Raw genomic sequence first — 15,991 nt, 5'->3', positions numbered from 1 at the left:
GCTATTTGTTTTCATTTTAGGATCCTTAAATAACAGAAATACATGTGATAATTTAATCAAAGTATACATAGGAGGCTTTTTTTCCAGTAAGACAAAAAATACTATTTTAAATATAGATATGGTGTGTCCCCTAAAATGAAAATGTCAATAAATATATGACTGTCTGCTTTATCAATAAGCAAACTTCTACAAATTAATACAAATTATTTATATATATGAAAATACATTTCATTTTAATAAGAGTATATTACTATATGCCCAATGTTTTCAACCCTGATTCTTATAAATCCCTGAATTTCATATCATTCTATTTTACATATTGAGTGAGCTAAGGCCAGAGTTGAACAGCTTGACCTAAGTTGAATAGTTTATCAGTGGTCACAGAGCTAGGAGGTGGGAAAGCCAGGATTCTCACTTAGCTCTCTCAAAAGCCAAGGGCAAATTTACTCAAACTCTGTTTATCCAACCTCCTCCCTCCTACTTGGAAGATCTTGAACATTAGAGTTGTTGACCTCAGTGCCTGAGCTGCGGATTATCTCAAAGAAGAAAAAATAGCATGGCAAGAGTCTCCCAAGAGTCATGTTCTTGGACAGCATTGACTACCAGTTTTCAATCATTCATCCATTCATTGCATGATTGAGTGATAAATAAGTGTTCATTTATTCGGTGCATATTTAATGTATGGTACTCTGTGTAGCACTGATCTCAGCACTAGAGACAAGACAATGAGCACAACAGGCAAAAGTCCCTGCCTTCATAGAGCTTACATTTTAATGGGTGAATGCAGACACTCAACAAGATCAATAAATACAACATGTAGTGAATATGATGATGGTGATAAGTGCTAGAGAGAAAAACAGAACTGAGAGAGACAGGAAGTGTGTGTGCAGAAAACTTTACAAGTTTTCATAGGATGAACAAAGAAGATCTCAAAGGGAGGATGCCATTTGAGGTGTTAAGGGGGCAGGCAGCAGGTCTGATAGCTTCTGGGGAGAGGAGTGAGGAAATGCAATGGTCCTGAGGCAGGAGCATGCCTAGAATATTCTGGGAATAGCAACCAGGTCAGTGTGGCTAGAGCAGAGTGAGTGAGGGTAAGAGCAGTAACTTAAGATTGGAGAGGTGGGGAGAGTGAGGTGACCAGATGGTGACCCTTACTGGTCATCATAAGGTCTTTGGCTTTTACTCTGATTGAGATGCAAAATCAATGGAGGGTTAATGCACTAGAACATATTACTGAGAGGTTTCCATGTTCTTCACATATTTTTTAAATGTATTAGCAACTTTAATAAATTATGAGAAAGTGCATTATGTCAAACTCCCAATTGCTAAATACTGCTGATCTCATACAGATCTCCATTTAGGACTGCCCTTGTGATCACAGAGCAGGTCAGAGCCTGGGAGAGCATAAAGGGCTTACATGTAAGAAGCCCAGGTGTAGTGGGCCACACTATTTCCAGTGTGCCTGCCTCAGACCTTGAAAGAATGTGTGTGGCTATCCCTGAAGCCTACAGCTCAGCCTTAAAATCCAGACAGCTGGGAATAGATCAGCCATCTCTGCTACCAGCTTTTGGAGCAGTGCTGCAGGGAGAAAGCTATCCATCAACAGCTGTTTAGGCAGCAGGCTGAAAATGCTCCTCCAAGAAGGGCACCAAGAGGAGAGACAGTCTCTCCAGCAGAGCAGGGAAAAGTCCTGGTCAAACTTCTGCCAACCCCATTTAATCTCACAATGTCAAGTCATCCTCAAATTCCATTTCCCTCTTCTGTTCAATAAGATCTTTTTTAAAAAATTTGATGGGATGTCCCACAAATAAAACATTGGCTGATTAGAATTCAAGTTCCTTCTGTGCAGCAGTGGGTCCTATGTGTTGTGAGAAGACAAGAGTGCAGTTAGATGCATGGAAAAGAAAAGCAGGGAAAACCATTGAAAATTGCTTCAGAATAAGCAAATTGATAGCTTAGATTCTATTTTGAGGATTTAGAGTTAACACCTTGGACCTGCCTTTATCCTGACAAAGGCAAAGATTCAAAGAGCCGTTGGACCTTTAGAATTTAGGGAGCACCACTAGGAGCCTCCACTTTCCAATTCATGGTCCTGAGGTCTAGAGGAATTGACTTCTTTTTGGCCTATCTATTTGCAATTTCTCCCAAGAATTTCTAGAATTTATTTTCCTCTGTGCTTCTCAGTGTTTCCCTCTGTAGACGATTGCTACCCCAATGGATGCAAGTTGTCACCAGGGGAACATGGTTGCATGTAGCACCAAATACTGCTTGTAGACTGAATAAATACTGTCTTACAAGTAAGTACATGTATGATAGTTTCCAAAGTTATAAACTCTACTGTGAGGAATAAAATGCAGATTCAGACATATAATTTTTAATTGAATTCACAGTAATTTTTGTAAAGTGTGTTCCCAATGAACAGGTAGTGAAAACATACTTAGTAATATAGATGCACAGAGAAAATTTTTCAATGCCAAAAGAGGAATTTTAATTCTTTGAAAACATATGAGTAGTAAATGATAAGTAATAAAATGAATCTAAGTTGTGGGCTACTTAGAATTCTAACTCAATGGCTGTGGTTAGAGCAAACTATGGGTTATGAAGACCAATGAGGAGAAGAGACATTCTAGGGTTTCCTGGTCTTTGAGAGCTACCATTATAGACTCGTTTCTTGGAGATATTTCCTATTCTTCATGATCCAGGAATTTTGCAATGATAATAATCCTGAAATCATTAAAGCTTCAGTGTGAAGTAATTTGTTAATTACCTACCTCCAGTAAAAGAGGATGTTAGAATAGAGAGAAAATAACAGACTTCATGAGAAACAAGTGCAAAAACATGAAATAAGGAAAAGTACTCAAAAAGGAAGGTGAAATGGAAGAAATGCTGCAAGTAGAAGAGAAACTTCTCTGTTTTAATCATGAGAGGATATTGGATTTTATCAAATACTTTTTATGTAACAACTGAGATGATGTTTTCCGTCCCCTTATTCCATTAACAGAATGTATTCCATTGATTGATTTTCATGCACTCGGAAGCACTTTGCCAAAGGCTGGAGCAACTGTTGACATGTGCAGCTATACTTTTCTTATATGAATCTGTTTTTCAAGTTATTGTCTATGCTGGATCGTTTCCAGAATGTTCTCACATGCCATGGGGATTTGAAGTTTTAAAACTTTACAATGTTTGAACTCAACACTAAGAGCTAGTTTTTAGTCATCAGTTGGTTTCATTCAAGTTAACACCAAGAGTAGAAGCTCTTTTCCTTCATTCAAAGAAAAAATAAGATCAAGAATAACACAAAAAAGGACTATCTGTAATGGAATGTGGGGCAGGTTATACAAAAGGAGGAATATTGGTGTTTGGACATTCACTTAAAGAGATTTAACCGAAGAGGAGGCTTAGGAGGCTGCTAAGGAGAGAGGACTGTTGGACGTTAACCCACCTGTAGCCCCTTAACGGTATTTCCTCACATGTTTAATTCAGGCAGCTTCCATGACCTCAAAGCAAACAAGGAGGACTTCTGCATGAGCACCACACATCTACACATGGTTTTTTTTTAAAAAAAAAAGAAAAAAAATCCCCTCTAAAAATCCAACGCTATCTCAAGAAATTGATTTTTCTAAGGAATACAATTTCAGTTTGCTATTTTTGTATTTATGAAATCTCTTTTCTTTTAATTAAAAAATGTAATCCCATAAAGCATAGCTAGAATGAAAAGCTTAAGTGTGTGAGCTGGCTTGTTTGCTTAAATTTAATTGTAAACATCATTAAACATTGGGAAACATGGTGAGAGGGGATTCACGCTTAAAAGCATCACTCTACCATAATTACCACCATGTTTGAAGACTCATTTTTGACAGTTTCATATTTTTATATAGTTAGAACCTTGGTGAACAAATAATTTTATCTCCTGATTGTTCTTATGGAGCCGATCACGCACCTTGCTTCTCTGTGCTGCTGGAGAACCTCACTGTTTACAATGCCGGCATTGTGTTTGCTTGAATGAGTGCACCACAATTAACTCTACCTCCCATTCTGGCTCTTTACAGTTCTGCACTTTCATAAATAATTTTGTGAAAAGCATTTTCACACACATAGTCATTCCTCCCCCTCTTTTTTATTTCCTCAGTGTAACTGGAATTATTAGATTAAGGAGTATGGATTTTTGCATGGCTTTTAATGTGTCTTGAATCTGCCTATTCTCAAACGTAATCTTATCTGAGCACTCAGCATATCTACATGTTTCTCTCAAGACCTAATCATATTACATTGATTTTTATCAGACAATGAGCACATGTTTTTCTTTTTACCTTAACTGCCAGGAAACTCAGAGCTAAAGTTCTATCTAATAAAGAGTTCATCTCAGGTGACCGGTAATATGTTTCTCTTTTCCTTTGGGTTGATTTTCTACTTAGTTGTTCTTTAAAAAAAAAAAAAAAAAAAAGATGCTGAATTTCAAAAGTTCTTTCAAATTCCTTTTAGAAACAGGAGGGCTATAGGCCGGGCTCAGTGGTTCACTCCTGTAATCCCAGCACTTTGGGAGGCTGAGGCAGGTGGATCACAAGGTCAGGAGATGGAGGCCATCCTGGCTAACACGCTGAAACCCTGTCTCTACTAAAAATACAAAAAATTAGCCAGGCATGGTGGCGGGTGCCTGTAGTCCCAGCTACTCAGGAGGCTGAGGCAGGAGAATGGCGTGAACCTGGGATGGGGAGCTTGCAGTGAGCCGAGATCGCGCCACTGCACTCCAGCCTGGGCAACAGAGTGAGACTCCGTCTCAAAAAAAAGAAAAAAAAGAAAAAAAAAAAGAAATAGGAGGGCTACAAATCTCACTCACATACACACAGACATATATACAAACATGTATTTATTATATCTAACATAAAACTTCACATAATTAGCATTGTATCATGAAAATGTTCTTGGCACTGGAATCTCTAAGATGATCCAGGACAATCCCCTCTTTTTATGGTACAGACCCTGAAGCTAGAGAGAGAACGTGACTTGTCTGGGATCACACGACTCTTTGGAGTCAGAGCCGGAACTAACCCTAACCCAGGCCTTTGCAAGCCCAATCAGAACCCTGAAGGCAGCATGAGAAGCTGGTTATTTGCTGAGCCTTACACCTTGACATTTCTGCCAGGGGCTAAGTCCTCTGCCCGACAGTCCTCTGTCCTTACCACCCTCCTAGGCCTCCACTTTGGTTAAATCTCTTCAAATGAATGTTCAAACACCAATATTCCGCCTTTTGCATAGCCTGCCCCATACTCCATTACAGATAGTCCTTCTCTGTGCTATTCTCGATCTTATTTTTTCTTTGAATGAAGGGAAAGAACTTCTACTCTTGGTGTTAACTTGAATGAAACCAACTAATGAACAAGAGCTAGCTCTTATTGTTGGGTTGAAACACTGTACAATTTTAAAATTTCAAATCCCCATGGCATGAGCCATGCTCAAGCATCTCTCGCTATGATATTTTTCATCTCTCTTTCTTCCCTGAATTTCCCATTGCTACCATCCTCTGAGAGGCCCACATTATTTCATTCCCAGCTGTTGGTTTGCTTGGGCTGCCATAACCAAGTACTACAAGCTGGGTGGCTCAAACAACAGAACCTTATTCCCTCACAGTTCTAGGGGCAGAAGTCCAAGATCAAGGTGTGTGCTGGGTTGGTTCCTTCTGAGGGCCCTGAGGAAAAGATCCGTCCCAGCACCCTCTTGTTGACTGTGGATGGCCATCTTCTTCCTGTCTCTTCACACTGTCTTCCATCTATGCTTATCTCCGTGTCCAAATTTCTACTTGCAATAAGGACACCAGTCATATTGGATTAAGACACCCTGATGACCTCATTTTAAATTGACCACCCCTGTAAAGGGCCTGTCTCCAAGTAAGTTACAGTCAACAACAGTGGTTTGAACTTCAAGGTATGAATTTTGGGGGAGATGTGATGCAACTGCCCTTGAATGCAAAGGTCATTTTGACATTTTTCATTTCCGTGCTCAAAGTCTTCCATTGTCCCCACTTACCAAATAAAGTCCAAATTCCTCACTTGGGCGTGCAAGCTCCCCACAGCCCTGTTCCTATGTGTTGTTGTTATTTATCTCCCTACATACCCCATGGTTTTTTATGCTGCAGTCCAACCATGCTACTCTCAGATTCCAAACACACCCACACTTTTCTGCCTCTGCGCCTATGCTCATGGGCTCTTTCTGCACAGACTGCCCTCTTACTTCACCCCCACAGGCCCATCTCTGATGCCCTTTCTCCATGATGACTCCTCAGTCCCGCTCAGAAACGTCTCCTCCTTCCCAGGGCTTCTTTTGCTTATCTTGCTAGAAATGAAGGGTTATGACCATTGTCATAGTCACAGTCACTTGTGTGTTCCCTGATGCTAGACTGTACCTTCCTTAAGAGCAGGAACTTACTCATCCTTGCATGCCTCTCAGTGCCTTTTCTTTCTCAACTCCCCCAAAGTGAAGGCTTGTATCTTTTGTGAACAAATCAGAGGAAAAAGAAATATTCTGTTATACAGATCGATCATCATAAAACTTCAGGGGCCTCTAAAGCAGCTCTTGTCATAATAGTGGGCAGGCCACACATGATGTAGGTTAGTAGATAGTGGAATAAATAAAATAAGCATTAGGTGTAAGATTTAAGATTGTTGGTGTGTGGGTATGAGCAGTGTTAAATGGGCCATCATCATTTTTACTAGGAAATTCCCTTTGTCCTCATCATTTTCCCCTTCCAACAGAAAATTCCATGAAGCTCATTTCTAAAGAAAAGTAAATACCCAGATGGCCAGAGGGATGACCTTTCTCTAACAGAGGGGATGGATTTGTTATCCAGCCAAATGTTTGAAATTCTTCCACCAGCATGCATAATTGAGAGAGATGTGTTAATTACCCTTACATGACAGCTGGTAGGACTTCCTAGACAAACTCTGAGAGGAGTATTGATCTGGAATCATTGTAAGTCACTGTACTGTGGTGATATAAAGGTAAAGCCCTCGCAACAGTTTTGAATGAGCAGGTCAATGTGTGGGGCCTCTGTGAACTGGGGCCTGCAGGCATGTGGCAGCCAGCCAGTGTTCGTCCAGCAACAAAAGGACCAGTGTGGTTCTTTGCATGACATTTTAATGAGTGATACAAGGAAAATCCCAAAGATGTAATCCCTTTTATTATAATAGCTCTATGGCTCAAAATGGGTTGTTATCAAAGAGAAACACAATTCCAGAAAGTGAGGATAAGATTTTTGTTTTTATCCCCTGTATCTGTGAACAGCATTCTCATCATTGACTGTTATTTAAGGGAACTGAGTGCACAGCGTTTGACTCAGCACTGTGGACATTTTGAAGAGGGAGCAGAAAATACGATCCGTGCCCTCGAGGAGTCACTATCTTGGCACTTGGGTGGAAAATAATTTAATTCTCTAAAGTCTTTTCCAGGTCCAAGATTTTATGATTCAATGAAGAAGAAAGAGATCATTTTATCTTTAAACAGCAAAAATGTCATGAATATCCTTTTGTCTAAAAAGCAATTCATATTTACTAATATAATTTGTCATACTGCTGCTACATTAAATTTTTCAGTGTTTATATCACAAATCTGCACAAGGGAGCTTTTGAATTTATTTTTCCCTTCCTGTTGTGGACTAAATATTTTTTCTTTTACCTGGAATCACATGAAATATGGGATTACTTGACTTTTCTGAAATCCAATATAACGGTATGTCGGCTTCCAAAGTAACCACTTTGTTGTTCATTCATACATTTCTGGAAAAACTATCTGGTTTTGGTGGAGTCTAGGGAAAATACGCTCCAGGTTTTTTTTTTTCCATAAAATGTGTAGAAGAAAAATATACATCTCTTTTAAGCAACTGGAACCAATTTAAGGCTTTGGCACACACAGTGGAAAAATCAATGGAAGTTCAAAGTTGAAAGGCAAAGTTGGCCTCTACAAGTATCACTAAACTTGTGTCCACCAAGAAAAATAAGGAGAGGATTTCTGACAACCAACTAGGATGGCAGGTCAAATAATCAATCATCAACCAATCAATCAACATGGTTTTATTGAAGACGTTTTTATTTATGTTGGATGCTGGGAGATGGAACCCACGAGATTTAGACTTTCTTTCTCTCCTTCAGAAAAGTTTTCAATTTAACCAGGGAGATAACAGGAACATGCCTTGAACAATAAGGAATAAGATGCTATATTGATAAAAATCAAAAGTCTACAGGGCTGGGCATGCAGGAGACTTCATGAACACTGAGTGATCCAACCAAGGCAGAGCCTCCACACATTCCTGAAATCCTTTTGAGAATCCATCCAAATTTTCTTCCCAACTAGACAAGAACTTATAGTCCTTGAGCCTTGTTCTTGTTGCCTGGCAACAACACCAGACTCTACTGAGCCCCAGGAGACCAATGTCCAAAGGCTGTCTACTTCCCATGCAGGTTTCCTCCACATGAAAAATGAGCTCATAAGTAGGACACCTATTCTCCTCATCTCTTTCTGGTGCTGGGAAGCCCTTCAAGTTTTTCTGGAAGTATTTGCTTCTTTGTTCCTTGCTTAGATGGAGAAAGTGAAATGAGGACCACCAAGGGGTAAGTTTCCCATTTATGTCCCAGGCAGTCACACTGGTGGTCCAGTCCCAGCCTCTCCATCATGTCTACAAATCATTGCAATATAATGTAAGAGGTGTCATTTATGTCACAGTCCTGGCAAGGAGTGACCACCATGAGTTTGCTCTCAGAGGGTAATGGAAGGCTCTAGAAATATGTGCCTTGAAGAAGAGGAAAGAAGATGGGAAGGTTTGAAGAAAGTGAGAAAAAGTGAGAGTGCTCAACCGTGTCAAATACTGCTGAGAGGTCAAATAAAATGAAGGGCTGCAAAAATGATCAATGAATGTGGCAATTAAACAGTTAATGGTGGTTTCATCCAGGGCAGTTGGTGGAGTATTGAGAGCAACAACCAGGTTGCCCTGCAGTGAGCAAGGGTTAAGAGGTGGTGGTGAGGAAGACTGGACAATTCTGTCATCTGAAATCTCCTATTAAGTTAGGTTCTTCTGGTTAGGGACACTGGGGAAAGAGGAGAGGAAGTGATTTTTAATGTCATAGAAAATGTTTTCATTTCTCCACCTTTCCCCTGTGTGAAGAGAGAAAGGGAACATGTGCAGACTAGCAGTGGAAGCTGCTCAGTGAGGGCACAAAAAATGCCAGGACACCTCCGGGCTCAGGGCAGAGAAAGGCCCACCGGAATCTGTTGGAATTAACACATTTGTTCTGTTCCCTTTTTTATCCCTTCTCTTCCCCTTCCTCCCTGTTCCGCTCCTCTTAGAAATAATTATTGCTTGGGTAGCTCTCTGTCAAATATCTTGAACTTTTCATGAAGAAACTCATCATGAGACTCTGACAAAAAATATAAAAATCCTGGGATTTTTGGTTTGTTTGTTTGTTTGTTTTGAGACGGGGTCTCCCTCTGTTGCCCAGGCTGGAGTGCAGTGGTGTGCGCACGGCTTACTGCAGCCTCAACCTCCCAAGCTCAAGTAATGGATCCTCCTACCTCAGCTTCCCGAGTCACTGGAACTACAAGTGCGTGCCACCACATCCAGCTAATTTTTTGTATTTTTTGTACAGGTGGAGTTTCACCATGTTGCCCAGGCTGGTCTCAAACTCCTGGGCTCAAGTGATCAGCCTGCCTTAGCCTCCCAAAGTGCTGTGATTACCAGCATGAATCACCATACCCAGCTGATTTGGGATTTTGAAGTCATGATTTAGGCTTTTAAACAGTTAATCTAAAATTACATCAATCTAATATTGGCTGAGTATTGGGGATAGATATGTTTTCTGATTTGCTCATATCATCTGATACATGTGTACCTCTTAGATTTCACTATTATTTCCAAGTAGTAGATTGTAAATAGAAATTCTCCTGTTATAGCAATTTCTTAATTATGCATAGGGGTAGTAGAAAGAAAATTTGAAAATAAGAGTAATTCATCTAAAAATATATGTTAGCCATTGTTTTTCAACTAAACCTAAGAATTTAACCAGAACTCCTGATAAGAAGTCAAGTCAAGATGCTAACTGGAATTTTACCTTTTTACAATATCTGTGAAGGTGGTAATTAGCACTTACTTGATCCAGGGTGGGCTGGTAATTAAAAGAAGGAAGAATATGGGCAGAAAGCCCAACAGAACACAGAAGACTGATTTTCAACCTTTATTTTTTTTAAGCAGCAGATTTCCAATGAAGCCTCATGTAGAAGGTCAATATAAAAATCAGATCTTAAGGTATAAAGGTTAAACAGAGCTTCTCTAAATTAGGCAGAGCTGGTATCCCTCCAACTTTCTCCCCTCAGGGACTGTTGTGGAAGTAACACTATAGAACTTATTATTTTAATTCTATGCAATAATGCATTTTGTTTATGTAATAATGTATTTGTAACAATGCATTTATATATGTAATAATATATATGTAATAATGCATTTAATAGTTTGCAAAGCTCTGTCATTTCATCACATCACTTGATTTTTATAACAATTCTATGAGCTAAGCAGACTAGATATTACTATTATTATTGCCACTTTGCAAATGACTTGCATAAGATCATCTGGCTTATAAATGACAGATCTGGGATCCAAAATCAAGTCTTTAAAGATCTTATACTATGATCCACTATGAAATCCTTCACTTGTCAGATCATTGCATTCTTGTTCAGAGTTAGAGTATATGAGATATTCTGGATAGCATGCCAAAGGATAATAGCAATTATCATTAAATTAAAAATAAAAAAGCAAATAAATGAGTTTTTACATTTGACCCCATATGTAAGAAGGTAAGTAAATATTTTTGATATAAAATTAAACTCATATGAATAGTCAGTGTAGGCAATAATCAAATAAACACTTTCCCTGCTAAGCCTCACCAAGTCAATCCCTACAAACTTTAGGTAAATACAATATGTGACAAAGACTTTTCTCCTTGAATAACATAAAACAGTGTTTTCTAATACAGCTTTCCAACTGAATTAATCAGAGATTTTAAAATGCAAATTCCTGTCCCCTCTATTGAAAATATAAACCAATAGCCATGGGTTGGAGCCTTTCTTCAGGTGTGGGATTAGGTTTGGAAAACACTGGTATCAAGTCATACGATGGACTCTGCCTCCCCAGTTACTTCCTGAAAGTGGGCTAGAAGTTTTGGGAGAGGGCTTGTCAGGCCACAACAGTGTCACTTATTCAGTTATAGCCTTAAATTATATCCAGTGACCAAAAGAGTCGGTGTATATCCAATTATGCCTAATTTATACCCTGGGACATGCTGGTTCTGGCTCAATGTAAAATCCTGGTAGAATTTCAATTTAACAAACTTGACAGGACATCAAAAATTGCTATGTTGTCTCCAAAGCTCATTAAATGAAAGCCTACACTTTCTTCTAAGGTTCAGAGATAGTCTACATTATTATTATTTTTCTATTTGTTTATGTGAGGCATATATTCAGCAAATACTTTATTGGAAAACAATAACCCGTCAGACGGAGCCCCTGAGAAAATGGGGCATTCTGCCACCGGAGCAGGAAGGCCTGAGAGAGGAAACACTTCAGTGTCCTTCATGGCTGCAGCATTTAATGGAATGTAATATATTCTTAATAAATTTGAAACGATCCAAAATATCACTGGTGCAGCCTGCATGGTTGAGAGAGCCGGCAGCTAGCTGGCTGGGGTGGGCCTGGATTCCGACCTCTATGCCTTCTCCATTTTGATTGTCTCTGACCCTGGCACCTTCTTATTTACTTCTATGGTGCTAATGGTCCCTTCTCCATGATTTTGCTGGTCCTGTGGTTAATCCTCGCTTCTGCTTATGGGCACCCCCACCCATTGCCCAGCCCTGAGGACCCTCCTGACTCCACCTGAATTTCCTTGGGGGCTGGTATTTGCCTTGTGACTTCTGCCATCCAAATCTGCATTGCCAGCTCCTGTCCCCAGATACTTAAGAAATTTCTACCCCAAAAGACTTTTGCCACCTCCCCGAGGAACTCATGATCCCAAAGCCTGCCCACATGTCCTTCACTGGGACACGATTTCCCTGTTTCTGGGAAAGGTTTCGTGATTCCTCCTCATGCCCAAGGTTGAAGCTTGAAGCCACATATGAAGAGTGCAGAGAGGTACAAAATGCTCCGAATTGGAAATCACATAGGGCCCAGTTCGAATCCCTGCTCTGCCACTTGGGCACTGTAGAGTCATTTCACATCTCTGAACCTATCTCCTCAACCACAAAATGGAGAAAATAAGAACTTTTTCATGACATGATTGTAGGGATTGGTGGCACAGCCGCTGGAACACGCTTGGCTGCAGGGCACTCAGTCAGTGCCCCTCCCTCCCTTCTTCACTGTCCTTTTCACTCTCTGCCTGCCAGCCTTTCCTGTCAACAGCCTCACCCTTCCTTTCTATTCTATTCACAGAGCCAACAGAGTCTGGGCCCCAGCTGAAGTACAGACTCCACTACAGCCTCCTAGAAGTTTCTCTGTCCTCACTAGTAACGTATTTACACCCATTGTGTTTGGATTGAAATTATCAGGATCAAACTCAACTCTGCCACATACCAGTCATAGGAAAAATAAAATTCTCTAAGGTTCATCTGTCACATCCACAAAATGGGCCCAATATCATAGGGTTAGTTGTGAGGATTAAGGGAAAGAACACTTTTAAAGAAATTGGCATTGTGCTGGGCACATATTACCACTCTAGATTACCAGATTACGTCCATTCTCTCCTATCATTTTCCTACTCAGAGAGCTCCAAGGCTTTCCCCTCCCAACCACACCCCACAGCTAAAATACCTTTAGAAAAAAGGACAAACTACTTTCAACATTCAGGTCCCCCATAATACAGAGGTAACGCTCTGTAAAAAGCATTACCCACTATGCCTTTCTAATTGAAAGGGATTCTCTTCCTCTCATCTGACTGATCAAAATAATGAGCCACTTCTAGAGAAAAGGTCTTTAGAAAGCATTTGAGAATTGTTTATGGCTTGGGTCAGAGAGTAAAAGAAGGGGAACTAGCTTAGGAAGATAGTTTTGTTTCAGCTTTCCAGAGGAGAGGGCCTTCACGGGGCAGAAGCAAGGGGAGATAGTTGCAGGACCAGGGAGAAACACACCTCCAAGTATGTGCTGAGGAATTGCTGCAGAAATCTCAAGGACTTTTAAAGAACATGATCTCTGAGAAAACACTGGAATATGGTCACCTCATGAAGAGCTGAGCAAGTATCCAACCGGAAGAAATCTGAGAGGAGTAGAGCTTACTGCTCTGAGACTATGTAGGTCAAGGACCAGGAAGACATGTCTGCCCTATGTCCTAGTGACCATAAGTCACCCAGAGCAACTGATGCTCACGAAACAGGAAGGTTGTAGGACTCTTGGTCAGCATTTGCTGTTGACGAACTAATATAGGCTGGTGGTGTTTTCTGTTAACTAAACCCCGCATCTAAACTGGTTTGTTAAATTGGGCCAGTGGAGCTGGACTGACTTGTGGGGTTTCTTTCCCCCGGGGCTGGCGGAGAACTCAATGCCAAGTGAAGCATGATACAGCACTTCCTGCAAGTAACTCAATTCTCTTGGACCACAGCACCTCAGACACCAGGGTGACCTCAACCTAAAAGCATATGGAATGACATCCTGCCACCAACCCGCTGTCCTCCCTTCCTCCTTGTCCCTTGATGGACCACACTTAGCTCCCTTCCATCACATTGCTCCTGCTTCTCCTCCTGCCTGAAATGCTCCAAGACACGGTGAGGTCATTAGAAACCAGGCAGATCTAGATCTATCTAGAAAATAGTTCTGAACATACATCCCACCTCTTCTGCTTCCCAGTCTGGGGATCCTGAGGCATTAATATAAGCTCTCTGCTTCATTTTCTCTCTCTGTAATATCAGGGTACCTATTTTAATAATGTGTTGTAGGGATAAATGGAGTAACGCAGGCAAAATGCCTGGCACAGTGCACAGCCTGTAGCAGGCAGTCAATAAGTGTTCACTCCATTCCCACCGTACATGTTAATGTCTTTATGTCTAGACAAATATCACATATGCCTGGAGGTACAATTCCAGTCTCATCTCATTAAGGAATCTCCAGTTATCATCTCCCATTCTGAAGTCCTACTTAGCTTAATAGCTTTACCACTAACTCAGGCACATCAACTGCCCTTGTTATTCATCTGTTCTGACACAGATGTCTTGTTTGGCTAATTCAACAGATGTTTCCAAAGGGGACAGCTGGTGTCAATGACAATTCCGTCTCATCACTCCAACTTCCTACTGTATCTATCTATCATAGTTATAGATGCCCAATATATTTGTGTGAGTAAAGGAGTGAGTGAAAAAAATCCGAGTGCAAGGGTAAAAGGCCAGTTACAGGTATAATTCCTACCAGATTATAATTTGGTTGACTTCTTTACAAATTTATAATCCAGTAGGGATTGAGCACCCAAATTTTTGAAGCAGATCAATGGTGGTTAGCATGGAAGAGAGTATAGTGGAGTAAAGATGTTGAAGGTGAAAAAGAAGATGAAGAGAAAGGCAATGTTGCAAGAGAGGTCAGTTCGGAGGTTAAGTGGGCTTCATGGAGGTATTACGGACTCTGAGTTAGACAGAAGGTTGACAAGCATTACCGCCTGAGCTCCGCCTCCTGTCAGATCAGCAGAGCCATTAGATTCTCACAGGAGTGGGAACCCTATTGTGAACTGCGCATGTGGGGAGTCTAGGTTACATAATCCTTATGAGACTCTAATGCCTGATGATCTGAGGTGGAACAATTTCATCCCCAAACTATCCCCCACCGACCTTCTATGAAATCGGTCTCTGATGCCAAAAACGTTGGGGATGCTGCTGCCCTATATGGTGAAGAAGATAGTTAGCTGTCCACCAAAACTTATTCTCTGTTACTTTCACTGTCATTGAGCTATGGTTGGGTACATGGTCATCTTGCCAGGGCCTGCATTTCCAACCCTCCTTGCTGTAAGAGATGGCTGTTGGACAAAGTTTTCACCAGTAGGTTGTGAGTGGAAGTGATGTGTACAGTCCCTAAGGTGGGACCCTTAAGGTAGTGAATAGTCCTCTCCCGCATTTTCTCCTTTCCTTTACGGCTGGTTGGGACCTGGCTGTATCAGTGACCCAGCCTTGACTATGCAATTCTAAGGCCCTAGAGCCTGAAAAATGGCAGAACTACCACAATATGGAAGGAATATGGGCCTTGAATGATGGAAGAACACCCCCAACATCCTGTGATGAGACAAGAGTAAGCTTTTTGCTCACTGGTTTAGGCCATATGGTTAAAAGCCATATGATTGTTGGGTCTCTTATTACAGCTTAGCTGCTACAACCTGATTAACACATTACATATGTACCTATGGAATATATCTCTTAGAATGTTTTTTAAGTAAAAAAGATAATGGCATAAAAATAGTACAGCAAGCTTTTTTGTTCCTACTAAGTAATACGTTTTGAAGATTTTTTCAAGTCATGTGTTTGTAATCTTGGATATAGATGATAGATAGATAGATAGATAGATAGATAGATAGATAGATATAGTAATTCTACCTTATTTCTAAATATACAGTATTTCACAGTATCAATGAATCATAGTTCATGTAACCAAGTGTTAATGATACTGACATGAACATCCATGTACATGCCTCTGTTCAAATGCACAAGTATTTCTCTAGAATAAATATCTAGAAATGGAATGGTTGAGTTGAACCATTGTGAATCTTTCAGAATTTAATATATATTTACAAATTGTGCTCCAAAAAGCCTACATCAATCGATTCCATAAATTTATTTATTTGCTTGGTGTCTGTCTCCTCTCTCTCTCCCTGGAATATAAGCTCCCTGATGGCAGGAACCTTGTGTTGCCTTTACACACTATCATGCACTATGATAGTGCATAGTTCCCTAAAACACTGTCAATGTTAGAAAACTTTAAATTTCATTCAGCT

The 15,991-nt window shown here is 40.4% G+C and overlaps 1 protein-coding gene across 55 annotated transcripts in view, besides 2 other annotated features; it reads right to left on the bottom strand.

The window, feature by feature from the left end:
- Positions 1 to 15,991, bottom strand: part of MBNL2 (muscleblind like splicing regulator 2) — a 252,287-nt gene that overhangs the window by 78,891 nt on the left and 157,405 nt on the right. The gene's annotated exons all lie outside the window — the stretch shown is intronic.
- Positions 6,713 to 6,857: an enhancer, noted in NCBI's record as "145 bp enhancer 219 fragment used in the MPRA reporter construct; PK_construct_883". NCBI's record gives its function as "activates an SV40 promoter by MPRA in HepG2 cells {active_cell/tissue: HepG2}" and the evidence as "EXISTENCE:reporter gene assay evidence [ECO:0000049][PMID:23512712]".
- Positions 6,779 to 6,790: a transcriptional cis regulatory region, noted in NCBI's record as "FOXA motif; enhancer activity is reduced when this motif is scrambled". NCBI's record gives its function as "necessary for full MPRA enhancer 219 activity {active_cell/tissue: HepG2}" and the evidence as "EXISTENCE:site-directed mutagenesis evidence [ECO:0005528][PMID:23512712]".

Source organism: Homo sapiens, chromosome 13, assembly GCF_000001405.40.
Source record: "Homo sapiens chromosome 13, GRCh38.p14 Primary Assembly".
NCBI classification, from domain to species: domain Eukaryota; kingdom Metazoa; phylum Chordata; class Mammalia; order Primates; family Hominidae; genus Homo; species Homo sapiens.
The sequence above is the reverse complement of the archived record's forward strand: the minus strand, read 5'-3'. Positions and strand labels throughout refer to the sequence as shown.